Raw genomic sequence first — 26,752 nt, forward strand, 5'->3', positions numbered from 1 at the left:
CAACCTCCTGAGTGGCTGGGACTAACAGAAGCATGCCACCATACCTGGCTGATTTTTGTATTTTTAGTAGAGATGGGGTTTCACCATGTTGGCCAGGATGGTCTTGAACTCCCAACCTCAGGTAATCTGCCCACCTCAGCCTCCCAAAGTGTTGGGATTACAGGCGTGAGCCACCGCACCTGGCCATGTTTATTAATACGACTAAGAACATTTTGAATTGCACCTGTGGCTCCATTGGTGTCCTGGGCAGGTGGCTCTGTGCTGTCCACACAGGTTGTCTCCTGTGTCTTCGTCTTCGCTGCGTGTGACTTTTTGGTTCCTGTGGCACGTGGGGTCCTGTATGGGACATTGGTTCTACAGCAGATTTATAGTAAGGATGTACCTACTAAAAAATACAAAATAAAAAGAATAGACACAAACATAGAAATAAGTATCACCTCACAAAACTTTTGGAAAGTAGAAAAAGAAAAATGCATTCGCAGCTTTCCAGTAGCCGATATCCAGGCTGTCTTCATCAGCATGGATCATGTGTCCCTCTCCTGCATGGGTAGACACTGTTTTCTCACCTTAAGTGTTTGTGAGTGAAGGATTCTTGATGTGTTGACTTGGCAGATGCAGTTGTTGAACAGTAGTTTATCTAAAGATCGTAAGAGACTTTTGGAGACATTTCATGTCCTTTTTTCCCTTGGAAAACGTGGGTTGGAGAAATCGCTGCTTGCCAAAAATAAGCCGTGAAATGTATTTCAGAGTAGATCGTTATTTACATGCTGGCGAGGAGCCACAGAATACCATTTACATTTGAAAATAGAGCGCTGCGAAGTTTTTATAAGTAGTGAATCCCATCAGAATTACACATTTTGATTATGGCTCTAAATTTTATATTAAATAAACTAAAAATTTCATTGTATTGTATTACCGTCTCTTGCTCCTTCAGGTGTAGCATACATGCTAGATTCTAGACCTGTTTCTTGTGTTACAGTGGTGTTATCCAGGCAGGGTATCATGTAGTGAAGGTGATGTCGAGTGGTGGTGGTGAGCCCAGTGAAGGCGCATCCTTGCCGTGTGTGATGAGGGCCTGTGGGTTGCTATGGGATTCCCCAACCCTGGCTCCTCTGTCTCCTGCTTCTGTCCTTACTCACACTGCTGGTAGTTTTCTGGTGTGAGACACGGGGGCAAGTGGGATTGACAAGCCTGCTGTCACATTAGGAACCTGAGTTAAAGTGGAGCTGAAAGCATGTCCTCGCTCTTGATGTTGTGCAGAGAGCCACCTGTGCTCCTGGCTCAACGGGGCGGGTGTGGTGGGTCTGGAACCAGGCCCTGGTTTGGCTCTCCTCCCCTCCATGTTCCCCTGTCCTGTCTGATTTGCTTCACACTGACATAAGAGTTACTTTCCCTCGGCCTCCCAAAGTGCTGGTATTACAGGCATTAGCCACCGCGCCCAGCTAGCATCCTTTCAAGTACTGGGGTACACCCAAGCTCCCAGCTTCTAGCTAGGAGTCATTTTGTCCCTCTTTATCCCAAAGGACTTGCCACCATCTTTGGTTCCCAAAGCCCAGGAGGGTCCAGGCTCTTCAGCCTCCAACCACTTTGCATTTCTTGTCTGCTTTTCGTTCATGGAGATAATTAACTTATTTTTCAGCCTGGGCATGTCTTTTTTATTTACTTTATTTTTTATTTTTATTTTTTGAGATGGAGTCTCACTCTGTCGCCCAGGCTGGAATGCAGTGGCGGGATCTCATTTCACTGCAGCCTCTGCCTCCCGGGTTCAAGTGATTCTCCTGCCTCAGCCTCCTGAGTAGCTGGGACTACAGGTGTGCACCACTATGCCCAGCTAATTTTTACATTTTTAGTAGAGACAGGGTGTCGCCATATTGGCCAGGCTGGTCTCGAACTCCTGGCTTCAAGTGATCCTCCTGCCTCAGCCTCCCAGAGTGCTGGGATTACAGGCACGACCACCGCACCCAGCCTTTATTTACTTTGTATATCTCATCTATTACTGCTGCAGTTTGCAGAAGAGAGGATGCCCTCAAACCTAACTTCTCCAAACCATCCCAAATGGGAAGTCTGCTCCACGTCAACAGCATTGTTGCTTTTAAAGACTATACGTCAACATGCCAGATTATAGCAAAAGGATGTCGAGGGAGCAATAGGAAAGCAAGCCTGAGAGTCCTGGAGAGAAGGTGGCAGAGCTGCCTTTTGAAGGTGGTTCCTTCCTCAGACCCTGCCCTTCCTGCCTTGTTCCTCCAGTTGCCAGATTTGCTGTTGGAGCTCCTCCACGGGCGAAGAGGTGAGGCTGGACTGAGAGGGAGATGGAGAAGCTGCCAGAGATTCTTTTGGATCTAGAATTGAGACAGCAGTTCCAGCCAGGTCCAGAGGTGGGGGCTGTCACCCAGCCCCCAGGGGAATGGTACTGATTGCAGAATGTGGCGAGAACTCCCTGGCTGGGAGAGGGAGGTGCTTGCTCCCTTGAATCACCTGAGCCCAGGCTGGAAGGCCCAAGGGGGAGGACGAGGCCAGCTCACTCCAGCTCCATCCCCTCCCTTTAACCCTAAGCTAGTTAACCCTCCCAGACTCCAGTCCTTTTTCCTAAGTGCCCTCCCTGCAAAGTCTGCACCGAGCAGCGCTCCCTCGCACCAGCTCACCCTGCACTGTCTTGTCTTTCAGCAACCCCATGGGTTTGAACTTGAGACGATTCATGTTCCTAAAAGCCTCTTTGGGCTGAGGGAAGGCATGGGTGGCTCTGCCAGTTTTGGAGTGGGGGCCGACTCTTCTCAGAGCCGCTGCAAGGGCCAGGGCCACCCTCCCAGGCGGGTGTCTCTGGGCTGGGCAGCAGCTTTGTAGGCAGCCTGGGTCATCCCCACTGGCCTGGGAAGCTGGGGGTGCACCGGCTCCTGCTCCTGATAGGGCCAAGGCACCTTCCTTACCTAAGAGCTGACTTTCTTGAAGAGTGGGCACAGAGGAGCCGGCAACCTGGGCTGTGTAGGCACCCAGGAGAAAATCTGCAGCTCAGTATCAGAAGTCTCCACCAGCACGGCTGTTGCAGAGATGGGGAAACTGGGCTGAGAGGGAAGGGGGCTTGCCCAAATCACCAGCCCTGGAATGTTTGGAGCTTTGGGGGTGGATCTCCCAGGAAACGTGTTTTTATGGCACCACCGCCTCTGGTCACCCACCCCGAGGTGTGGCGGGCCTGGACAGCCAGCTTGACTGAGGGCCAGGCTGGTGAAGTCAAAACTACCACTCAGGAAGAAGACCTAGCCCTTCTCCAGACAGAGTTCAAATGTGAGGACTGCCTTCTTTGGGCCTCAAATTCCCCACGTGAATTCCAAGGACCCCTCTAGCTCCTACACTCTGGGCCAAGGTTTCCTCTGAGCCGCAGTCAGCCTAGAGGACCTAGGATACATCTTCCTTGGACAGAGACCCACCATAGGGGCAGCAGGAGGTAGGGGTGGGGGTAGGCAAGATTCCTGTGGGGAGGTGGAGCTGTCATCAGAGATGGTGTCTGCAGGCAGTGGGTGTATCGTGGCTCTGCTACTACTTGCTGGGTGGCCCCATGACGTTTCTTTCCCCACTCTGACCTCAGTTTCCCTATCTGTTCCGTGGAGATAAGATGCCTGCCTACATATTTGTGGACTGGGATGTGTGTGGGCCAGTTGCAGTGTTTCTTGGTGTGGTCCTGGGGCAGGCTGCACCACCCCATAGAGATTTCTGGGCCCCACCCTAGGCTCACAGGACCAGAATCTCTGGGAATGAAGCCTGGGAATTTGCATTTCCACAGGCATCTGGCTGATTCTGACATGACTGAAAAGCACTAATAGTATATAGCAAGCTCTTTATAAAAGGTAAATTCATAGCTGCCTTTTACTAAACATAAATCTCACCTTCCCTTCCTCAGTTAAGGACACACACCGCAGTTGAAAATCACTGTGCCTTTCCAGATGCAGAATCTGACCTTTCCGATAAGATTCTGTTAACTGCTGCTTTCTGCAGTTTGTATTCCAAAACAAGGGGAATATGTTTCCATTTTTTCAATACAAATGTTTAAGTCGGATATGCTTTCTCAAACTGGACACGCACTCACACAGCTTAGGGTTTCAGCTATGGCTTCCTCTCAAATTATTAGCCTCTTTCTGCCAGGGAGCAGTTTTTCCCAGACAAGACCCTGGACAGAGGTTGGTGGGGCCCTCCTCATCAGAATCACTAGATTATGACTGACCCCTAGAGGTGGCTTTTCTGCTTAAGTGTCAGCCCATGGGCTGGGTTGTGACCCCCAAAGCTGCGGCAGAAGCTTCCACCCATCCTGGGCCCCCCCTGCCATCTATGGGGAAAGGCCTGTCCCTTGTCTTCTGGGCCCAGCCGGCCTCACAGGCATTCAGCAGATTGGAAAGTCGAAGCATGTGCTGTGCTTGGCTGGGCTCTCCTGCGCCCCTTTTTGGGGTGAGGTGGAGTGCATCCAGCCCCCAGCATCCCTGCCGTTTATTCCCACCCCTCATCCCCACCCCCATACACACTCACAAGTACAAACACAAGCACAGTCACTGGCACACACCACTCTGGACAGCACCATTTCCAGCCTCAGCGGGGCAGTTTCCTTACAGGGAAGTTAATGAGGCACTAACGAAGGCTCAGGGGACAGGGGGAACCTCTATCGAGAAGAGGCTCCTAGACCTGGTTCTGCCTCTGAATTGCTGGGGGTCCTTGAGAAAGTTGCTATCCCTCTCTGGTCTCAGTTTCCTCAGGTGAGAAATGGGGGGCCGGCCAAATGGTCTAAGGTTCTGGGAACCTCTAAATCAGAGCCCGTAGCTGGTGGTCAAGATGAGGGAGAGGCCCTCAGGGTCAGCCGAATGCCTGAGAGGCCGGACAGGCCCAAAGGTGAGCAACGTGAGCACATCAGGTGGGCTCAGAGCTGGCGCATGAGCCCCACAGCCTGCAGAGCAGCCCTGTACTCGGGAGCCCGCTCGCACCAACCCAGTGGGACTTCAGAGATGTGGGGTCCAGCCTTTCCTACTATTGCTGGGCTGAGGGCTGGGAGCTGCAGATTCTGACCCCACAGCTGCCTTAGACATGCCAGATGGTCTGGGGCAAGACACACCCCTCTCTATGAAATGAGCAGCCAGTCCAAATAGGTACATTAGAGAAGGGCTGTGGGATGGACCCAGCTGTAGCCTGGGGCTACAGACTGGCTTCCGGGGTACTCAAGCAGCTGGCCTCTGGGGTAGCAGCCCCAGGTATGAGAGGCAGGACTCAGAATCTAGGCCAAGCCTCCATAGGAATCCCCTCTGGAGAGCCCGGGCACTCTGCAGGAGGGGCAGCAGGCAGCAGGTGCACCAGGAGCATGTTTCACAAGGTGCCCAATATCGCATCTGCTCAGATAGGCAGCGAGTTGGAAAGTGGATGCAATAGGCAGGGTGGCGGCTGCTCCCCACAGCCAGGAGTCCGGCCCAGCACCCACCTGAGTCCGCCTCAGTCCTGCTCAATTGGGTTATCCGTGCTCTTGGCCCTCTGGTCCCACCCACAGAGGGAGGTCTTTGGGGCGACCAGGTGAGCTGGCCCTTGTGGGAGGATGTAACTGACTCCTGAGCCTGGCGAGCCAGGCAGCCCCTCGCCAACGTCCCCACCCCTACCTCTCCAGCCCCCCCGCATTCCCTGATCCTCCCATCCGCTCCCCTGACCCAGCAGTTGCCTCTGCTCACTCTCTTTTCCTGCTCCCAGGCTCGCCTGGTCATGTGTCCTTCACTCTCCTCTGAGTCTCCCTCTTTCCAAGCCGCCTCCACTCTACTTGACACAGTCTCCCTTAAGACACCAGAGTACACAAGCGCAAGTCCCTGCACCTCACCTTTACTCCCAGACATGGGAGGGAGATGACATGAAGACCCAAACGCCACTTAGCAGGAGATCTGGGGTATGCAGAGGGGCAGAACGGAGGCTGTGGAAGCTCCAGGGGCTCCCTTCAGGAGGCCACATGTAAGCTGGCTATTGAATGTGGCTCTGAGCTGAGACCTCTCCTTGAAGCTCCAGACCAGGAGCCAGCTGATAGCTGGACCCCTCCATTTGGTGCCTCAGAGAAACTTTGCACTCTCTAGGTCTAACTTTGAACCCAGAAAATTCCCCCATGTCGGCCCTGTCTCTTCACAGGGAAAGCACCACCTCAGACCCAGTTCTGCACCAAACCCACATTTGAGTCACGAGGCTCCTGCCCTGCACTGTGAGCACTCTGGATAAGCCAGTGCTGAGGGGGAAAGAGCTCTGAATGCCAAGCCAAAACATGAGCTTCAACTCCACCTCCAGCTCTGAGAGCTGTGGGTAGGGAAGGGCCCTAGTCCAGTTTGCTGTAGAAAGATCAGTCTGCCACTGTATGGCACATGGATGGCAGGGGCAGAGTGCAGGTGGAGAGAACAGAAGGTGGGCAGGGCGGGGGAGGCAGGGACATGGCTGTAGCCGTGGAGATGGGAGGACAGACAGGACTTGGTGGCCACTTGGGTGAACCAAGGGAGGAGTCAGGAAGAGACACCCAGTTTTGTATCAGATGTGTAGAGCGTGGGATGCTGTTCATTGACGGAGGGAGGAGGAGGAGGAAGAGGTATGGCATGGGGAGGAGGTAGCTGAGCTCTGTCGTGAATGTCATTTGAAGTCCCCAGGGAAAGCCAGGCCGGCCAGCACCTTCACTGCTTCAGCCAGCTCTCAGGGTGTCTGTGCTCCCTGGCCCTCTCAGCTCCTGCTTCATAGCTGTCAGCTGCAGTGGGAGACAGCTGCACAAGGGCCCAGCATGTCTGTGTGTTTACCCAGGGGACTGCCGCATGGCCCATGCCGAGCAGAAACTGATGGACGACCTTCTGAACAAAACCTGTTACAACAACCTGATCCGCCCAGCCACCAGCTCCTCACAGCTCATCTCCATCCAGACGGCGCTCTCCCTGGCCCAGTGCATCAGCGTGGTAGGTGCAGAGGGTACCTGTGGCTCAGGCTCAGGTGAAGAGGCAGCTCATGCCCAAGCCCTAAGCAGTCAATGTCCAGAGGAATGAAATGACTAGAGTTGACTTAGACTCACCGGTACACGGTGGGGAGGCTGGAGGAGGGTCCATGAGGTTTATAGGTGTCCAGTATTTAATGAGGTCATGGTTTTGTTAACAAAGAAGAAATGAGGGTGGGAGCGAGATCACCACTGGCTAGGCAGCCAATGGGCCTGCAGAGACTCTGCTCAGCTGAGTCTCCAGCACGACCATGAGCTTCTCATCCTGATCCTCCCATCCCCACCCTACTTTTCTCCCCCAGCTTGCTCAACAGGTGACCTTACAGGCTCCCTACTCTTTGCAGGGAATAAGAACCAGACTGGGGGAACTGACGGGTACAGAGGCCCAGGTGTAGGCGCAGGACCACAGGCAGTGAAGCGTCTACTGACCCAGGCGGGTGAGGGTCTGGAGAGTGGGCATGGCTGCTGCAGGCATGGAAAGCAGGCACAGATGGCGGCACTCCCAGGGCCCATTGTCAGGGTCTCCACATGTGGACGTGTGCAGAGGTGGGGGTGCTGAGGGAGGAGGGGCAGGGAATTTCTCATCTTCTCTCTACTGCCTCTGAGTTGGAGATGTCAGAGGGAGCCATGGCCCACTGTAAAGTAACACAATGTCCCCACCCACAGGATTAGAACCCCTCCCCTGGAAGCAGCTCTGAGGGGAACAGTCACATGTAGAGAGTGCAGGGCACTGTGTCCAGCCGGGGGAAGGAGGTCACCAAGGGGGTTGACCCCCCTCTGGCCAGGTGGCTGCCTTCTGACACACCAGCCTCTGTCTCTAGCACGGTGGCCCCCACACACCCAGCCTGTGAAACCTACAGCCCTCAAGAAGGCTTTGGCCAAATTAAGGAGCGGCTCCCTCTCCCAGGAGGAAGCACAGGTGAAGGATGTGGAGGGCAGTAGAGTTGTGTGTGCTCCGCCCCCTTTCTCCACAGTCGGATGGAAAGAAGGGGGCTTTCAGCCAGGCTCGCCCAGGCTGGGGTCTGAGTGTCACTGTCCAGCTATTGGCTTCTTGCTTAATGGGTGAGCCCAGCTGCTCCCGTGCAGCTGCCGCCCTAGTGAGGGTGAACCGGCAGGCGAGTTACATTTCTGAAAGCCTGGGAATACAGTAAATATTAGGCTGTGGGCTGCTGGGCCAGGAAGAGTTGTTTATTTTTCAGGGTTTGTTTATCTATTGACTTGATGAGGGAGGGTTATAGGTACAACCAGTTTAAAGATGGAAATTTTGAGAGAGCAGGCAGGGATTTAGTGCTGGGTAAGCCTGGTCAAAGCGGCTCTTTTGGGGCGGCCAGAATCCAGTACCAATGTCCTCAGCATGTTCATCAGCTGCTGGGGGAGTGCGGGACAGCATGAAAGCACAGGAGAACTTTCTGGATGATAGAAATACTCTGTATCTTCAAAGGAGGTGGGTTCCATAGTAATGTTAAATGAGTTAAAACTCATCAAAATGTAAACCAGACCTGTGCATTTCACTAATAGAAATTATACCTCCAATTAAAAACATGTTTTAAAAGACAGATGGGCCGGATGCAGTGGCTCATACTTGTAATCCCAGCACTTTGGGAGGCTGAGGCAGGTAGATCACCTGAGTCAGGAGCTCGAGACCAGCCTGGAAAACATGGTGACATCCTGCCTCTATTAAAGGTATAAAAAAAAATTAGCCAGGCATGGTGGCACACGCTACTCGGGAAGCTGAGGCAGGAGAATTGCTTGAACCCAGGAGGCAGAGGTTACAGTGAGCAGAGATCGTGCCATTGCACTAGAGCCTGGGCAACAGCGCAAGACTCCATCTCAACAACAACAAAAAAAGGACAGATGAAGGTTTTCAACTTTCAGTAAAGGCAGAGGAGCTTGTTACAGATTCGCCTCCCCACAAGAGCAGTTAGAAAAACTGGATAAAAATGTGCCCCGCCCCCAATCAAAAACAATTGTTGGAAGGTAATTGGAGACCTCAGTCAGGACTTGAGTGACCAGGCCTAGGAGGTGATCCTGACAGTCTGTAGTGCTTTCCCACATTTGGTGATTGGTCAACAGTAGAGGGCTAAGAGGCTAAGAAACTGAGTATGAAGTGGTAGTTAAGAGGCTGGAGAGCCTAGCTGAATGTTTGGCACTCTCACAGGGCTGAAATGACCTAATGAGAATTTGGGTCCCAGGAAGGAGATGGGACCTTGGTGGGGACCCTGGAAGGGCCACCCCTGGGAGTCCAAATGAATAAAACATAGACCAGCCATCAGAAAACCTAAAACCTGCTTTGAACCAGCTTAGTCCCAAAGTAGATGAAGGCGATCTGCCCTTACTCCAATTGTGTGCCATAAACTCAAAGTCAATACTCTCTGGAGGCAGATAAAAGTTTACTATGAATGTCAAAAGACAACACAAGACTAAATGAGAAAGACCAAGAAGAAAACTAATAGAAACATACATGTAAGGAAGAAACTTTTTTTTTTGAGACGGAGTTTCGCTCTGTCACCCAGGCTTGAGTGCAGTGGCACGATCTCAGCTCACTGCAACCTCTGCCTCCCAGGTTCAAGCGATTCTCCTGCCTCAGCCTCCCAAGTAGCTGGGATTACAGGCATGCGCCACCATGCCCGGCTAATTTTTGTATTGGCCAGGCTGGTCTTGAACTCTTGACCTCAGGTCATCCATTTACCTCGGCCTCCCAAATTGCTAGGATTACAGGCGTGAGCTACCATGCCTGGCCAGTATTTTGCCACAATTTAAAATAAATAAAATTTTTTTTTCAGGTTTGTGCTCAGACTATATTCTAAACAGTCACATGGCGGCTTACTCTTCTCCAGGCCTTGCTGCCGGCTTTTACATGTTTATTGTCTTTGCCTTCTTGTCATGTGCTCATTAGATGGCAGCTTCCAGGTGCTCCTAAGGGGCCAGGAAAGAGAGTGAGAAGGCACGGAGGTTGCCAGATCATCCCCCTTGGGGCCCCGCCCTCATCAACTCCCTCAACCGGGTCTCCTGCAACTATTGGTGGGCCATCTCGGCCACCGCTTCGCCCTGAGCTTCCTGCTGCTGCAGCTGGGCAGTGCCTCCTTCTCAGAGGCCAGCTGCTGATAGGCGGCCACGTACTGCTGCAGGTGACCCAGGTAATGGTCTCGCTGCTGCTGCAGACTCAGCCTCTTGGCTCTTCAGCTCCACCTGCAGGATAGGCGTCAGGGTAGGTAGTGGCTGGCTTCCAGATTCTGGGCCCATAAACAGGGTAGTGAGGGCACTGCGGGGCTCTGTCGCCTACCCAGGCCCCTGGCCCTGGCCCCTTCCTCCAGGCCTAAATGACTGCCTCCCTTGCCTAGAGGCCCATGCCTCCCTCCCCAGCCTCAAATCTCACACCCTTCTTCCCACCATTTAAACTGTAGGCCACAGACTGGTGGAAAAGCAGAGGGAGCCAACCACCATCTGCTAAGTTGTGGTGAGGTCATTCTGTATGATCTCCAGGGTTTGCACACACCTCCGCCTGCTCCCCCCAAGAGCTCGGCCTTCTGCCCCAGCTTCCCCAGCCTCTCCTCCAGCTCCTGCAGCCTCACCTGGTGTTCCTGCATCTTCTCCTCCTGCTGCCGCAGCCTCACTTCCTGCTCCCACATCTTCTCCTCCTGCCTCCGCATCTTCTCCTCCTGTTCTTGCATCTTCTCTTCCTGCTCACACATCTTCTCCTCCTGCTCCCACATCTTCTCTTCCTGTTCCTGCATCATCTCCTCCTGCTCTCGTATCTTCTCCTCCTGCTCCCATATCTTCTCCTCCTGCTCTCGTATCTTCTCCTTCTGCTCCCGTATCTTCTCCTCCTGCTCCCTTATCTTCTCCTCCTGCCTCCGCATCTTCTCCTGTTCTTGCATCTTCTCTTCCTGCTCCCCCATCTTCTCTTCCTGTTCCTGCATCATCTCCTCCTGCTCTCGTATCTTCTCCTCCTGCTCCCGTATCTTCTCCTCCTGCTCCCGTATCTTCTCCTCCTGCTCCCTTATCTTCTCCTCCTGCCTCCACATCTTCTCCTCCTGCTCCCGTATCTTCTCCTCCTGGTCGTGCATCTTCTCCTCCTGCCTCCACACCTTCTCCTCCTGCTTCCGTATCTTCTCCTGCTCGTGCATCTTCTCCTTTTGCCTCCATATCTCCTCCTGCTCCCTTATCTTCTCCTCCTGCCTCCACATCTCCTCCTGCTCCTGCCTCTTCTCCTCCTCCCGTATCTTCTCCTGCTCGTGAATCTTCTCCTCCTGCCTCCACATCTTTTTCTCCTGCTCCCGTATCTTCTCTTCCTGCTCCCGTATCTTCTCCTCCTGCCTCCACATCTTCGCCTCCTGCTCCTGCCTCTTCTCCTGCTCGCGTATCTTCTCCTCCTCCTGCCTCTTCTCTTCCTGCTCCCGTATCTTCTCCTGCTCGTGCATCTTCTCTTCCAGCTCCCGTATCTTCTCCTCCTTCTCCCACATCATCTCCTCCAGCCTCCGCATCTTCTCCTCCTTCTCCCACATCATCTCCTCCTGCCTCCGCATCTTCTCCTCCTTCTCCCACATCATCTCCTCCTGCCTCCGCATCTTCTCCTCCTGCTCCCGTATCTTCTCCTCCTGCTCCCGTATCTTCTCCTCCTGCTCCTGTATCTTCTCCTCCCACTCCTGTATCTTCTCCTCCTGCCTCCACATCTTCTCCTCCTGTTGCTGGTTCAGGCGGTTCCACAACTCGTTCTCTTCCACCTGGGCTTGGAGCTTTGCTGACACACTCTGCAGCTCCTTACCCAGGTGGTCAGCCTCCGCCTGCAGCTGCTGCTGGAATAGTGAAAGTGTTTTTTTGAACCTCAGAAGGAAGCAGAATCATGAGCTAGCCACATAAATGTAATCTATAGGCTGGGAGCGGTGGCTCACGCCTGTAATCCCAGCACTTTGGGAGGCCGAGGTGGGCGGATCACGAGGTCAGGAGATCGAGACCATCCTGGTTAACACAGTGAAACCCCGTCTCTACTAAAAATACAAAAAAATTAGCCGGGTGTGGTGGTGGGCACCTGTAGTCCCAGCTACTTGGGAGGCTGAGGCAGGAGAATGGCGTGAAGCCGGGGGGTGGAGCTTGCAGTGAGCCGAGATTGCGCCACTGCACTCTGGCCTGGGTGACAGAGTGAGACTACTTCTCAAATAAATAAATAAATAAATAAATAAATAAATAAATGTAATCTATAAAATAATGGTTTTCATCCATGATCCTTTAAAAAAATATTTTTAAGCCCTAACTCTTGAGATTCTGATTCCCCAGGCAGGGCCCCAATTTGTACATTTTTAGTACACTCTAGAGGATTCTATGGCGGGACCAGAACAAGGACCCAAATTTTCCAGCTCTTGGCTGGAGCCTCCCCATACCCTGCATGATCCCTAGACCATGGTCCCAGCTGGATGGGTCTCCCACAACCCCCGGGGCTGCAGCTGCTCACCTGTGGCAGCAGGAGCTTGGCCCTCTCCAGTTTCCTTTTTAGCTCCTTTACGTTGAGCTGGATCTCAGACTTTTCAGATTCTACAAGTTGAAGTTTTTCTTGTAGTTTGGCATTTTTCTCCTTCAGCTCCTCATCAGTTATGCTATGGCCAGAGGCAGTAGAGAAAGGAATGAATGAAGAACATAAAAGACCACTTTGGTGATTGACCCCCTACCCTCGCCCCACAACCACAGAACCGTGGCGCTGGAAGGGACCCCAGGAATTAAAAGTCCCAGGTGGCAGGCCAGAGAGAAGACATGAGTTGCCTGAGGCTACCCCATGAGTCAGTGGCACAGCCAGCACTAGAGCTTCCGTGTGCACACATGAAAACATGTATGAGCCACTCCCCACACTCACCTGGACCCCCCACCTCCCAGCACACCACCCATGCTAAGGGCCCCCAGACCTCCCATTCCACCTTCCCCCATCCTACGTGTTCCTGTACAGTTCCAGACTCAGGGCGTCCCTCTCCTTTGTTAACTCCTCAATGTACTGCAAATAGAGAAAGGTTAAGTCAGGATAGAGCAGGCACAGCAGTAGCTGGACGACCAGGAACAACTGCTACAGTGACTACTCCACAGTAACACTTCCTCACTCTCAATCACACCTGACGTGTTCTCAAGGCATTTCCAAGCCCATGGTCTCATTTGTTTTTCTTTCTTTCTTTCTTTCTTTTTTTTTTTTTTTTTGGCAGAGTTTCATTCTTGTTGCCCTCACTGGAGTGCAATGGCACAATCTCAGCTCACCACAACCTACACCTCCTGGGTTCAAGCAATTCTCCTGCCTCAGCTTCCCGAGTAGTTGGGATTACAGGCATGTGCCACCACACCGGGCTAATTTTGTATTTTTAGTAGAGACGGGGTTTCTTCGTGTTGGTCAGTCTAGTCTTGAACTCCTGACCGCAGGTGATCCGCCCACCTCAGCCTCCCAAAGTGCTGGCATTACAGGCGTGAGCGAGAGCACCTGGCCCTCATTTGTTTTTCAAAGAACTCAGTGGATGTGGAAGGGACAGGGAAAGAGATTGAATTTAGAGCTGGCTAACAGGGGCCCAGAGCGATCAGATAATATTGTTATTGTTATTACTGTTAGTACTACCATTGTTCGAACCTTTCTTGAGTGCTTCACCAGGCACTATGCTAACAATCCCATTTAATCCTCACAACCTCCATAGGAGATGGTTACCATTATTACCTCTATTGTGTAGATGAAAAACATGCGGTATTAAAGGTTAAGTGCTGCCTAAGATCACTTGGAGCTGGGATTTCAACACCCAGCTATATCTGATTCTCTAAGCCCATTCTTCCGCTGGAGGTAGGGGCACAGTTAAGAAGGAGGAAATTAATCCTTTGTTGAATTTTTGAAAGGATGATACGTTCGCATAGTCCAAAACTCAGAAAGTCCAGAAGGGAAATATCTCCCCCCAACACTGTGCCTCTATCCTGAGTTTTTTAATGAATCCTTACAAACGTGTTTTATGTATGTTACCATAATACGTACACACACACACATATACACCTGCCCCCTCTCTCCACACAAATAATAACATACTCAAGATACTCTTCTGTACCTTTATGGTACAAGTACCCTAACCGCCACTTAGGACTTGGCCAAGGCCACAGCCAAGTATGGGCAGGGCGGGCACTTGGCCTCTGAGCTCTATGTCCAGTGCTCGCTCCTCACAGTGCTCCCCAACTCACCCACAACAGCCGACTCAGCCCCAGTCTGCCTCTAACAACCACACACAAAAGCAGCAAGAAATGGCCATGCTGCCTTCTGGGCAGGACACTCCATCCTACAGAAGGGACCTTTAGGCTCACTCCTCCATCTGCGAAGCTGGGCTCCCAAGGGACGGGGCCGTGTTTGGACTCACCCTATCCGCCTTCTTCTTCTGTGTAGCGACAGCAGAGAGAGCCTGCTCTAACTCTCCTGCAAACTTCCATGAATCATGCAGGCGGCTGATCAGATCCCTGGCCTCTCCTGGAATGAGAGACATTCAGATGTGGCCCAAAGGACTCCCCCTAAAGGCCTGTCAAAGTGCCAGGTTGAAGGATGATGGGGTGCCAGATTCCCACCTTCCAACTGCTTGACAGCATGCTGGCTGTAGTAGAGTGCCATCTGAAGCTCAGTTTTCTGACATGTAAGGATTCGTATGGTATGAACCTGGGCCTTTGGGAGAAAAGACAAGCAAATGCTGAAAGAGAAGCAAAGAAACATTCTCCAGAGGGCAGGAGGGAACTTCACACCCTCCACTCACCTCTAGCTCCCTCCTTAGGGCTTCCTGATGTTGGTGGCTTGCCTTCTGTTCCTATAGAAAGAGGAAAACAGAGCTCTTACTAGGGGGAGGCAGAGATCCACAGCAAGAGACATGCCCCCAGAATGGCACCACTGCCCCAGAACAGGCCCACCCATGGGACCAGTTTATCAGGGACCCTGTGGGGATGGGGTGGAATCTTGGGGGTGAGCCTTCTTCCCCAGGCTGGGAGTGGGTGAGATGAGCCTGGGGCCTCTACATCTGAGTGCCCCCAAACCCAGCGGTCATGTCGTGAGCAAAGAAATCACACTACTTCTTCCAGCTGAGCTCGGTTCTATTGTTTCTGTGGGGAGAGTCAAAGGAAGGTGACTGAGGGTGGCCCCCTTGACTCTATTCCCCAGGCCAGGAAGCGATAGGCAGGGGCCAGGAATGGATTTAAAAGGCACAGTTCTCAGACCCAATGGGAACATGAACTGGTCACCTCTCCTCAACTCCCAAAGAAGAAGGATTTGGGTCTTTTTGGTTTTTGCCCACAGCCACAGAACTCAAAGTCTGAAACTAGATTCTCTTGAAAAGACAGTAACAGAAACCTTCAGAGGTGGAGTGCGAGAAAAGCCCACCCTTCCGCCAGCTTGTGATTTAGAAAGGTGCATTCACTCAGCAAACGTTGAGCACATACGGGCCAGGGACGGTTCTTCACAGCGGGAATAGAGGTCAGAAAAGGCAGACAGGAGCCCTTGGCCCCGAGGTTTCCATTCTAGTGGGCCTTTAACTCTCGGGCTCTCAGAGCTAACAGAAACCTCTGATACTCTCTAACTCTACCTCAGGAAACGCAAGCCCAAGAAGGAGAGTTTACAGCAGGTCCTGGACGAGGGATTAACATAAAAACACAATGACAAATCTCATTTAAACTTCACAAACGTAAGGAAAACAATACCACTCGTATTTTACGGATGTGAAAAGAGAGGCCCAAAGAGCTCAAGCAATTTGCGCTAAATCATGTCCCTAGCAGATGGAGGGGTAGGATTCAAACCCAGAATTCTTAGCCAGTACCTGGCAGTTCTTCCACAATCTTAACAATTACCCTCCACCACCCCTTGGGCCCTCTGTCCCCAGGAGCCCGGCCAGCCAAGACTCACATCCTCAGGCGAGTGGCAACCACCAGAAGTGGTTGTCTCAGGGTTAGTGCCATTATTTATTTTCTTCTTTTTGGTGTCGCTTGCTGCTGTACCAACACTAGGGTTGGTCTGGGGATGATGGTCTGTCAACTGTGGAAAGGAAGAGCAGTGATACTCATGAGAACTACAAGCTCCTACAGTCACATCCTGCTTTACAGTTTATACTAAATACCCTTATAGACCATCTGATTTAATGCCACCAACTGTAGGAAATGTTGTCACAATCACTTAGTGACTGAGAGAGATTGATACCATGGCTGAAAAAAAAGGCAGTAATGGAACTTAAACTCAGTCTTCTGACTCTGAGCTCTGGGATTTTGCCCTAAATCAGCAGCTGCCAGGGACCAAAACCAGAGGCAGAGGTAGAAAAGCAAATATTAAGTAGGCAGGAACTGTGCACTATGTGGTTTAGGGTTATTCACCCTCACACGTCTGTTAGTGTTAAAAAGTACACCAGTACCTCTCAAACCTTTACATCAATGTCTCCTCATGGCAGAAGGCAGCCTTTCTGCTAAATCTGGGAATTTAACAGAAAGAGGACAACCCAAGCCTCATTTCAGAGAGAAGTCTTGTATACGCTTATAAATCTACGTGACTTTCATCCCTAAGTACATTAATGTTTTGCCTCTCAATAGAATCAAGGGAAACTGATGCTTCAGAAAGATGCCCCATATTTATCCTGTGGCACTCAAAGTACCCCAGGTTGAGATGAGATGAGGAAGACTCAAGCTAAGTTCAGTTTCCCAAGATCTGTTCCACAGAAGATAAGCAGATCTCACTCCAGAACCAGTGACTGAGGGGCACTCTGGTCCCAGAACAATGGAGAATTCAAATCTGAGGTGCAGAACTGAGAAAAAATGTTAAAATCTCTCTGGAGAGTAGAAGCCTGGGAGAAAACCAAACCAAACCCGTTCTCCCATTGCCACCCAGAGACACTGTCAACGTGTCGAGCTCATGGGGGAGGTGTAGGCTTTTCACACTGTCAAGGTCTGTGGTAAGGAAGTCAGGCAGCCTGAAACCTCTCTCTTCTAGGTCCCACAGTCCCCATTCCCCTTCCAGCTGGAAACCTGTGCTGCAACCAGAGGAAACAGAAGTGGGCAAGAACACTTAGGGGACTGGGTCCTAAGACCAAAGGCCGGTCTTGTGGTAGTAATGACAGTTTGTAGCGGGACTGTGACATCACTACATTCTACTCCTCGGTGGAGTGGTTGGGGGGGACACATGAGTGCAATGCCCAAGTTGCCGCTTTGAGACTGGGGAGGGGGTCACAAAATTGGGAGCCAGGTCCTTGGAGACGTGACCCCAAAGAGCCCCGGGAGGTCAGGCTTGGGGCGGCAGGAGGTGAGGGCCAATTAAGGAGCAAGGAGCTCCAGGAGTCACATCCCCAAAGTCACCCTGTGGCAACTGGTGAGGGCAGGTTCTGGGGCACCCAGGTCCTTGGAGATGTGAGCTCAAGGAGCCCAGGGAGGTCGGGTTTGGGGTAGCAGGAGGTAAGGGCGGAGTATGGAGTTGGAAGCCCCAGGAGTCACCTGCTCAAAGTCACCCTGGTGTGCCGGGCAGAGCAGGGGCAGGACTTATGAGGGGGTTGGGCTGGCTGACAAGATTTTGGTGTGGGGAGCCCAGAGGCACTGGGGTGGGGGGCCCAGCCTGGTGTCCCTCAGGAGTGGCACAGACTCTGGCAGCAGTTCGGCTGTCAGAGGGGGCCTCGGGTTGGGTTGGGGTGTTGGTGCGTTTACCTGTTCCTTGGCCTCGGCCAATTTGCTCTGTCTGGTTTCTTTGGACATCATAGGATGGGTAGGGAGGTGGGGATGGGTAGGGAGGTGGGGATGGGTAGGGAGGTGGGGTTGGGGCCACATCAGCATGATCCAGGTGAGGACAAGTATATACCTCCAGTCACCTCTACGTCGCTGTGTGACTGAGCCAGAGGAGGCGTAACCAGGGCTGCACTAGAATGCAGAATAGGGGTGTGGCCTTCATGCTTGAAGCCCATTGGTCAATGAGAAAGATGAAAGGAAAAGGAGGTGTGGCCAGACAGCAGCGTGTCATCAAGGACCTGTGTTGTCACAAGGAAAGCTGCCTATGCAACCGCTGTCCCCGCCCACTCCAGGAGAGGGGCGGGGCTGGCTTTCACTTTAAAAACTTTAAAACTTTATTACCTCAATTGAGGTACAAGTCCTATTAAAATGGAAATTTTATAGTGTGCTTGATGATTGATAAAGCAGACTTTATTATCCAACATTCCAATAAGATAATCACAATGTTTTCTCTTTTTTGGAAAAACTTTCTCTTATTCTCCTACATTAGCGTTTAGTTTTTTTTAAAAAAACAAACAAACAAGAAACATGTCTAATATCTTTAAAAATACAAAGCTTTGAGCCAGGCGTGATGGCTCATGCCTGTAATCCCAGCACTTTGGGAGGCTGGGGCGGGTGGATCACCCGAATTCAGGAGTTCAAGACCAGCCTGGCCAACATGATGAAATCCTGTCTCTACTAAAAATACAAAAGTAGCTGGGCATGGTGGCAGGTGCCTGTAATCCTAGCTACTTGGGAGGCTGAGGCAGGAGAATCCCTTGAACCTGTGAGGCAGAGGTTGCAGTGAGCCAAAATCATGCCACTGCACTTCAGCCTGGGCTGCTACAGAATGTGACTCTGTCTCTAAATACACACACACACACACACACACGCACAGACACACACACACACACACACACACACACACACACACACAAGGCTTTCCATTTAATAAGCACTCAAAGTTCTTTACAAGGTTAAAGCAAATACAGGACCCTTCTAAAGTAAGGCTAAATGCTAAGTGATGGGGGAGAGAAAAAGGACATAAATAACTCCTACTCTCATGAGTTAATCACTAAATCCGATTTTTCTAGAATCACCTGGCCTCTAAGCCCTGAAAATGAAACTGAATTTCTCACTCGATACTTGGCTATGACTTGCAATCATGAAAACCAAGAATTGTGTTATGTCACTGTGTATTGCTTGTTACCTGGGATCAAGGGTTGACTTTTTCATGATTTGCTCCATTACCTGTGTGCTTCTTCTCCCAGTCCAAACTACGCTTTTTTCTAGAGTTCTACAATTTACAGTTAGTATGTAAGGGTGGCTCTCAAACATGTAGTCTCCGGACCAGGAGCACCTGGGAACTTCTTATAAATGTAAATTCTCAGGCCCCACCCTAGACACGAATGAATCAGAAACTCTGCAGTAGGGCCCAGCAATCCGTGCTGCAATAATCCCTCCAGGTGCTCAGGAACCTCTGCCATACAGCAGGTAGAAAAATGTGTTTCCTTCTGTAGGTCCAAAGCCAGGGATACTATATGTTCTGTCTCAATATGAAACAATGACATGCAATTAAAAGACATAAATCTCCTTCCTACTTCCACCCTCCAGCCAGTGTGTTTTATTTTTATGAGTTCAATAAGAAAACGTGTGGCAATCAGAGATTTCATCTAAAAAATATATCTACAGGTATCAGTTCTCATCCAGCCTGATCTCATCCAATATCATTTCTATCCTCTTACATCTAAAGTTTTAGAAAAGGATTTTCACAACGTAAGACTCAGGCGCACTAGGAGTTCTATGATAAAAGACCAAGTAGATCTGAATGTCCAAACTTACTAGAGAAGAAAAGTGGACTCATTGGCTATATTTTCAAATTGCATTCAACAGGAAATTAAAGTTTTGAATTTTTTCCACCTTCATCCTTCCAAGTTAATAGAATTAAACCAGAATACTCCATTCTTCCAAAGCCTGTAGCCAGGCAAACTTTTACTGTATTACTTCTTGCTTTTCAATGGATATAAAGCAGAGTCCTGGTAGGCACATTTTGTATACCTGCAAAGATGCAAAACTAAACAGTTCCCTCGGTTCAATATTAAAACAAAAGTCCTGTAAACCTCAGATGGTGAGTGTAATACTTCAGCACTAGCACGAAAGCCTCAAATATAAAAAGATACCAAGAACCTTGCTAGCAAACCAAAGTAAGCTCTTGGCCGGGAGCAGTAGTTCACGCCCGTACTCCCAGCATATTGGCAAGCTAAGGTGGGGTAAGTCAGGAGTTAAAGACCAGCCTGGGCAGCATAGCGAATTCATATCTCTACAAAGAAAATTTAAAAATTAGCTGGGCTTGGCGGCACACACCTGTAGTCCTAGAGCTACTTGGGAGGCTGAGGTGGGAAAATCACTTGAGCCCAGAAGTTTGAGGCTGCAGTAGCTATGATCATGCCACTGCACTCCAGTTGGGGTGACAGAGCGAGATCTAATTATTACATTCTGTCCTGCTCCTGTTTCCACTAAAATCACTAACTTAAAATGTGTTCATTCAGCAGGATAAAAATTAAGTGAAATTTGACTTTGGTGCTTTGCTAGCAAAAAATAAATAAATAAAGTGAAGTGACAAATTACTTACTGGGAGAAGATCTTTGTAACCTCAATGACAGATTAAAGGTTTGTAGCCTTAGCCTATAAAGAAATCTTTAAAATTACTCAGAAAAAAAAATGAATGATTTGCAGCAGAAAATGGGCAATGGAGAAACCAGCACTTCCCACAAGAATAAAAATGGCCAATGAGCAAATGAAAAAGATTCAAAAGCACTAGAAATCAAAGAAAGGTAATGAAAACAATGAGATTTTCTGCTTAAAGACCAGCGAAGATGACAAATGGAAGGGGGAACCTGGAGCTCTGTCCCTGTTGGTGGGAGCATAAACTCAACCAATTTTCCTGTAGGATGATTTGAACATTTCTTTTAAAAATCCTAAAACTGTTTTATATTACTTTCCTCTAGAAATTCTACTTCTATGAATTCAGTGCAAAAATCCTGACTCGAGTCCATTAAAATATATATAGAAGGAAATCCACCTCTGGGGTGGCAATGACTCACTTAACATACATCCAGTGATGATGCCAGGGTATATTTCTCCATAGAAACATGCTTAAAATATAGTAAGTGACAAAAGACCATGTATTGTGATTCTACTTTTTAAAATGTTTACAGCATAAAAAGTGTGAAAAGCAACAAACCGGAATGTTTTGAGTGGCAAAATTAAAGATTTTTCTTTACATTTTGTCATCCAAATTATTACAAAAACAATGTGATTTCCTTTATAATCATGGAAAAGTGTTATTTTCATTTATTTATATTTACATTTCTTTTCTTTTTCTTCTTTTTTCTCCTGTATGTATCCCACATAGGCTACAGAGCTTAAATCCCTGCCTCTTGAGAGAAATCAGCCCATTTTCAGGACATGCAATACACAAAGCTGCCCCATCTTCCCTTTATTTTTATTTTTATCTTATTTATTTATTTATTTATTTATTTATTTATTTATTTATTTATTTATTTATGTTGAGATGGAGTCTCACTCTGTTGCCCAGGCTGGAGTGCGGTGGCGCATCTCAGCTCACTGCAACCTCCATATCCCGAGATCAAGCGATTCCCCTGCCTCAGCCTCCCGAGTACCTGGGACTATAGGCATGCACCACCATGCCCAGCTAATTTTTGTATTTTTAGTAGAGAGGAAGTTTTACCATCTTGGACAGGCTGGTCTCGAACTCCTGACCTCAAGTGATCCGTCTGCCTTGGCCTCCCAAAGTGCTGGGATTACAGGCATGAGCCACTGTGCCTGGCCTGTCATATTATTTCTAAACATTTGAGTGACATTTCAATTAAGTGAAATTTAATTCTTACTGACCTGATCTCTTATCCTCTGTTTAATGATACCTTCCAGTTGAAAGGTGTTTCCTCTGTAATCACGGGTGCCAAAGGAAATACAACATGTATTCATTAGGTGGATCCACTAAACCACGGATTCACGCATTGTAGTCCTTACACCCTCAGCATCAGAAACACGTGGGAACTTGTTAGACATGCAAATTCCTGGGCCAGCCCCACACCTCCTGAATCAGAAAGTGGGGAAGGACAGCTATCTGTGCTTTAATAAGCCTTGAGATGCTCCCTGAAGTTTGAAAACTACAGAACTAGAATACATATGGTAGTAAGTGCTCATACTTTATCCAAGGTACTAGGGACTCTTCCCCTCTTTTCCATTCTCTTTTCTGTTGAAATAAAATGAGAGCTCCTTTTGACTTAATGGGTATAAGCAAGAAGGCAATGAGATGACCAGGGTTTCAAGTTAGAGTTCAAAATTTAATCAGTGGACAGTGACAGGATGCAAGCCTTCTAAACAGATTGCTGCAAGGAAGCTGATTATAATCTATACAGTAGGTATCATTAGTGTATTGATGTTAAATTTTGGGGGTGGATTAATGGTATTGTGATTATATAGGAGAAGTCCTGGTTCCTAGAAGATATCTGCGAAAGTACTTAACAGTGAAATGCTCTGATACTGCCAACTTACTTTGAAATGATTCAGGGGGAAAAAGGGCACATATACAATCTTCCATACGCAGAAGACAGAAAACAAGTGTGACAAAACATTAACTAGTGAATCCAGTTGAATAGCATACAGATGTTCACTGTATGATTTTATCAACTTTTCTGTGTTTGCAAGTTTTCAAAATAAAAGTTGAGGGAAAGAAACATCACCCCAAATCTTTCTATGAAATGGGACCACAGAAAAAGCAGAGAAGTGAACACTTTGCAGAAAAGAGCACTGCACCCATCCGGACAGCATGGTCAAAGTGCAGGCTCTCCTCCAGGAGGCTCTTCTCTGGTCTCTTCTGTGCTGTCACTTCCCCCACATGCAGCCAAGGCTTTTTTCTAACAACTCTTTTTCTAAAGATGTAATTTTTGTCATTCATCTAAGAAAGAGAAGAAAAGAATTAGTATACATTTAGAAAATAAAATTACACTTACATTTGTGAAAAAGCAAAAAATACTTTGAAAAGTGGGGAAGCAAGAAATGTACTGTTCTACAATTCTGTTCTGTTCTTACCATCTTTTTATTCTGCCAATGACTTCCTATTCCTGCTGTGTATGGTGGGGTGAGCTGCAAATGATTTCTTTTCCTCATTGATTTAAAATGTCATGTTTATAATGTACCAAACTCCCCCAGAAGCATTTGGGTTTATTTCTGGGCTCTATTCTATTCAAGTAATCTATCTGTTCACAAGCCACTATCAATTTTGATTATTGGAGCATCCTAAAGTTAAGTAATTGTTGTTTTTGTTTTTGAGATGCAGTCTCTCACTCTGCCGCCCAGCTGGACTGCAGTGGCGTGATCTAGGCTCACTGCAAGCTCCACCTCCCGGGTTCATGGCATTCTCCTGCCTCAGCCTCCCGAGTAGCTGGGACTACAGGCACCTGCCACCACGCCTGGCTAATTTTTTGTATGTTTAGTGGAGATGGGGTTTCACCTTGTTAGCCAGGATGGTCTCGATCTCCTGACCTCGTGATCCGCCTGCCTCGGCCTCCCAAAGTGCTGGGATTACAGGCGTGAGCCACCGCGCCTGGCCCTGAATTTGCTTGAGTTTTTAGCTCTCTCACCCATTTCAGGATTGTCACCACCCATATCTGACACGTCCTCCTCCTCCTCTAAATCTTCTAGGTCCTCCTGGCCATCAGCCTCTGTTTCTGAACCAGCCTCTTCATGCTCCTGTTCTTCACTCTCTGGGAGAAGACTGATATCTTCATCTTTCTTTCACTAACCGCATTCTGGAAGCACTGTAAAATTGCTTCATTTTGCAATTCCAGTTGTTGCAAAGTCTGCTCATCATCAAAACTTTCTATCACAAGTTTTTGTAAAGAGCTGCCATGGATTCTACCATTCTCTACTGTTTTATTAAAGTCATAAAGCACTTTCGTTAAAGAAGTGAACTTTGGTTCCAATCCAGCTTGAAACCTATTGGGAGGAATTAAATGAGATTTAGAATTATAGATAATAATTTCACAGCCCTCTTAATTAAAAGAAAAATAAAAACCTCAACTCTTCTGTAAAATCAAATTTGAATAAAGTGTAAGTATAGATTCTGGCCCCAACAATATATAAGCTGATGAGCCACAGTGATATATAAAACCTGTCAACCAAGTATTTGTGAATCAGCTGTATAGATTGTTGGCAGGAAAAGCATTACAAATCTATTTGCTTGGAGATGTATAGAGAATTAGCCTTAAATTTTCTACTCTGCTACATTATATACCACTCCATTCATTCATTCCCTTATTCACTCAATGATCAACATTTGCTTTGGCTTACAGTGGTCAAGGAAAACCTCTCCTAGATGTGACATCTGAGGTGAAACTTACAGACAAGTATAGTCTTATAAAGATTGGGAAACATGTATTCCAGGCAGAAGAAACAGCAAGAACAAATTCTCTAAGATGCAATTGAGCTTGGTAAGCCTGAGGAATAAAAAAGTGAGCATGGCTATAGCGTGAAGGAGGCAGAAGGTGAAGTCGGAGAGACTGATGGGAGCCAAATTCTGCAGGGCTCAAGGGTAAGAGTTTGCCGTTTTAAGTGTAATAAGAAAATGTGAGAAGATTTTAAGCAGAAGGATGAAATGATGATTTATACGAAGGAAGAAGAAAGGGAGGAAGGAGGAGGAGGAAAGTAGAGTGATTAGAAGGTTGATGCAGCATTCCAGGCAAAGGATGATGGTGATTTAAGCTGGAGTTAGAGCAGTGAATATGCTGAGTACAGTTTGGAGGTAGAACTGACAGGATTGCTAAGGAATTAGATACAGAATAGAGAAAAGTGAAGACATCAAAATAGCAGCCTAGTTTTATGTGCGAGCAACTGGAGAGACAGAACTGCCATTTACTGCGATAGGCAAGGCTTGAGTGGTGGAGCAAGGGGAAAGGACTTCAGCGGATGGCAGAGTGTAGGTGGGTAGAAACAACATTCTACTGTATTTTGGACACGGTGAATTTGTGATGCTGAGAGGACCAAAATTTAAAAAATTGTTAAAAGCCGTACGGTGCGGATATCCCAGTTGTGCGCTACTGAATTCCAACTAAGCTCAGTCTGGAGTTGCTTGTGAGCAAGGAACTCAAGGGAGAGGTTGGAGTTTGAAACATAAATGAGTCATAATTTTATAGGTCATATTTGAAGTTCTTCAACAAAATACACATAAAACGTTTGTGTTGGGAAGAGACATGAAAGTTCTAATTCTCAAGAAGCTTAGTGGGGTAGACAGACAAGTGACAAGTTTGTGCTTTCAATAAAGTATGATGGCAGGTAAACACTGAGTGCTTTAGGAGCACAGGCGGAAGGAGAAACCAACACAGTTGTGTGTAGGGGGATGGGGGCCGTAATAAGCCTCAAGGGGAGCTTATAGGCGTGAATAACTGAGGTTAGGTTGATTTCAATAACATTCAACTGAGAGATCCATACTGTAAAAGTTTTAACAATTTTTAAAATTTTGATAGCCTAGGTCCTCTGAAATGTGGGGAAAAGTGATTTACATTTCCCCTTACCTTCCCCCAGCTCCACAATTTGCCAGGGGTCTGCAACCCGTGTCCACGTGCGACCGCAGTCGCACCCGAGCCCGGGATCTGTGCACTTACGTGAGGATGCACTCGGGCCAGCCAGTGGCTTTGCCCACCTCCCTCAGACACCGCTCCAGGGTCCGTCAGCGCCAGGCCCATGGGCCATGGCTGTCTGCAACTCCCGACACAAGCTGCAAGGCAAGAGAGCCGCTGGGAAACCGCACCGCAAGGATGCTGGGATTGGAACAGGAATTAAAAGAAATGAAAAAATGTGTAAGCAAAAACTCAGCTGTATGTAAAAAAAACCCAATTCCCCCTGAGAATGAGAAAGAGCCTTAGTCCTTTAAAAAAACTACCTGTTTTCCTATGGCTAGTGAGCCTTATCGCTCCCTTCCCAGGCATTATCAAAACCCTAATTCCCTAACTGTGCAACTGCAAGGTCACTAAACAAACAAATGCAAGTCACAAAACATATTTTTCCTAAAAACGTAAAAAAAAAAAAAACATAATGCGTGCTTCAATTAAATAACTCTCTGTTTCTCGCTTCTGTAATATGCTTCCCCCTGCACAGATCTACCCGGGCTCCACAAAATGCTAAAAGATAACTCTTTATTCAGCTCAACGCTTTGATCTGCCTGGCGTGGTGGCTCACTCTTGTGATCCCAGGACTTTGGACGGCCAAGTAGGGTGGATCGCTTGTGCCTTGGAGTTCCAGACAGGCCTGGGCAACATGGTGAAACCTGGTCTTTTTGTTTTGTGTTGTTTTGAGACGGAGTTTCGCTCTTGTTGCCCAGGCTGGAATGCAGTGGCTGGGTCTCTGCTTGCCGCGACTTCCGCCTCCCGGGTTTCGGTCGTTGTCCTGCATCAGCCTCCAGAGTGGCTGGGATTGCAGGCATAAGCCACCAAGCCCGGCTAATTTTGTATTTTTTTTTTATTTTTATTTTGGTACAGATGGGGTTTCTCCCTGTTGGTCAGGCTGGTCTCAAACTCCCGACCTCAGGTGATCCACCTGCCTAGGCCTCCCGAGGTGCTAGGATTGCAGGCTTGAGCCACCGCTCCCGGCCCAACTTATTAATCAGAAAGGAATAGATCGTCCTGGTGTGGTGGCTCACGCTTGTGATCCCAGTACTTCGGATGGCCCAGCGCGGGGTATCCCTTGAGCCTAGGAGTTCCAGACCTGCCTGGGCAACATGGTGAAACCCGGTCTCTCTCTCTCTCTCTCTCTCTTTTTTTTTTTGAGGCGGAGTTTCGCTCTTGTTGCCCAGGGTGGAGTGCAGTGGCTGGGTCTCCGCTCGCAGCGACTTCTGCCTCCAGGGTTTTAGTAGTTCTCCTGCCTCAGTCTCCGGAGTGGCTGGGATTGCAGGCCTGACCAACATTGCTCTGCTAATTTTTTTTTATTTGTTTTTGGTAGAGACGGGGTTTCTCCATGCTGGGCAAGCTGATCTCAAACTCCAGACCTCAGGTT

General features: G+C 48.8%; 1 protein-coding gene, 1 long non-coding RNA gene and 1 pseudogene across 3 annotated transcripts; 1 reads left to right on the forward strand and 2 right to left on the reverse strand.

The window, feature by feature from the left end:
• Window positions 1-4,812: 4,812 nt before the first annotated feature.
• On the forward strand, window positions 4,813-5,965 carry LOC100996611 (WAS/WASL-interacting protein family member 3-like; annotated as a pseudogene).
• Window positions 5,966-8,139: 2,174 nt separating this feature from the next.
• On the reverse strand, window positions 8,140-17,801 carry GOLGA6L26 (golgin A6 family like 26). Of its 2 annotated transcripts, XM_017022778.2 has the most exons (10): window positions 17,621-17,801; window positions 15,846-15,974; window positions 14,710-14,760; window positions 14,528-14,621; window positions 14,326-14,432; window positions 12,889-12,947; window positions 12,417-12,558; window positions 10,540-11,763; window positions 10,088-10,156; window positions 8,140-9,883 (listed from the first exon to the last, which is right to left on the reverse strand). In XM_017022778.2, exons 1-10 carry the CDS (start codon window positions 17,744-17,746, stop codon window positions 9,860-9,862), a joined length of 2,025 nt encoding a protein of 674 aa, XP_016878267.1. In that variant the 5' UTR covers window positions 17,747-17,801; the 3' UTR covers window positions 8,140-9,859. The 2 variants fall into 2 exon arrangements, with proteins under 2 accessions (XP_016878267.1, NP_001369375.2); NM_001382446.2 differs by lacking the exon at window positions 10,088-10,156.
• Window positions 17,802-22,517: 4,716 nt separating this feature from the next.
• Window positions 22,518-25,485, reverse strand: LOC105376698 (uncharacterized). The gene is made up of 3 exons (XR_931974.3): window positions 25,366-25,485; window positions 23,347-23,701; window positions 22,518-22,661 (listed from the first exon to the last, which is right to left on the reverse strand). It is a non-coding gene; the product is annotated as an uncharacterized LOC105376698 (long non-coding RNA).
• Window positions 25,486-26,752: the final 1,267 nt, after the last annotated feature.

This window comes from Homo sapiens, chromosome 15, assembly GCF_000001405.40.
Source record: "Homo sapiens chromosome 15, GRCh38.p14 Primary Assembly".
NCBI lineage: Eukaryota > Metazoa > Chordata > Mammalia > Primates > Hominidae > Homo > Homo sapiens.

Excerpts from the sequence above, each read along its gene's own strand:
- GOLGA6L26 (XM_017022778.2), bottom strand. The coding sequence starts at position 17,746 with ATGCTGATGTGGCCCCAACCCCACCTCCCTACCCATCCCCACCTCCCT. Across the intron at positions 12,559-12,888 it reads CTGGAACTGTACAGGAACAC|CATAACTGATGAGGAGCTGA; the intron begins GTAGGATGGGGG and ends CTCTGGCCATAG. Across the intron at positions 11,764-12,416 it reads CCAAGCTCCTGCTGCCACAG|CAGCAGCTGCAGGCGGAGGC; the intron begins GTGAGCAGCTGC and ends TCACTATTCCAG.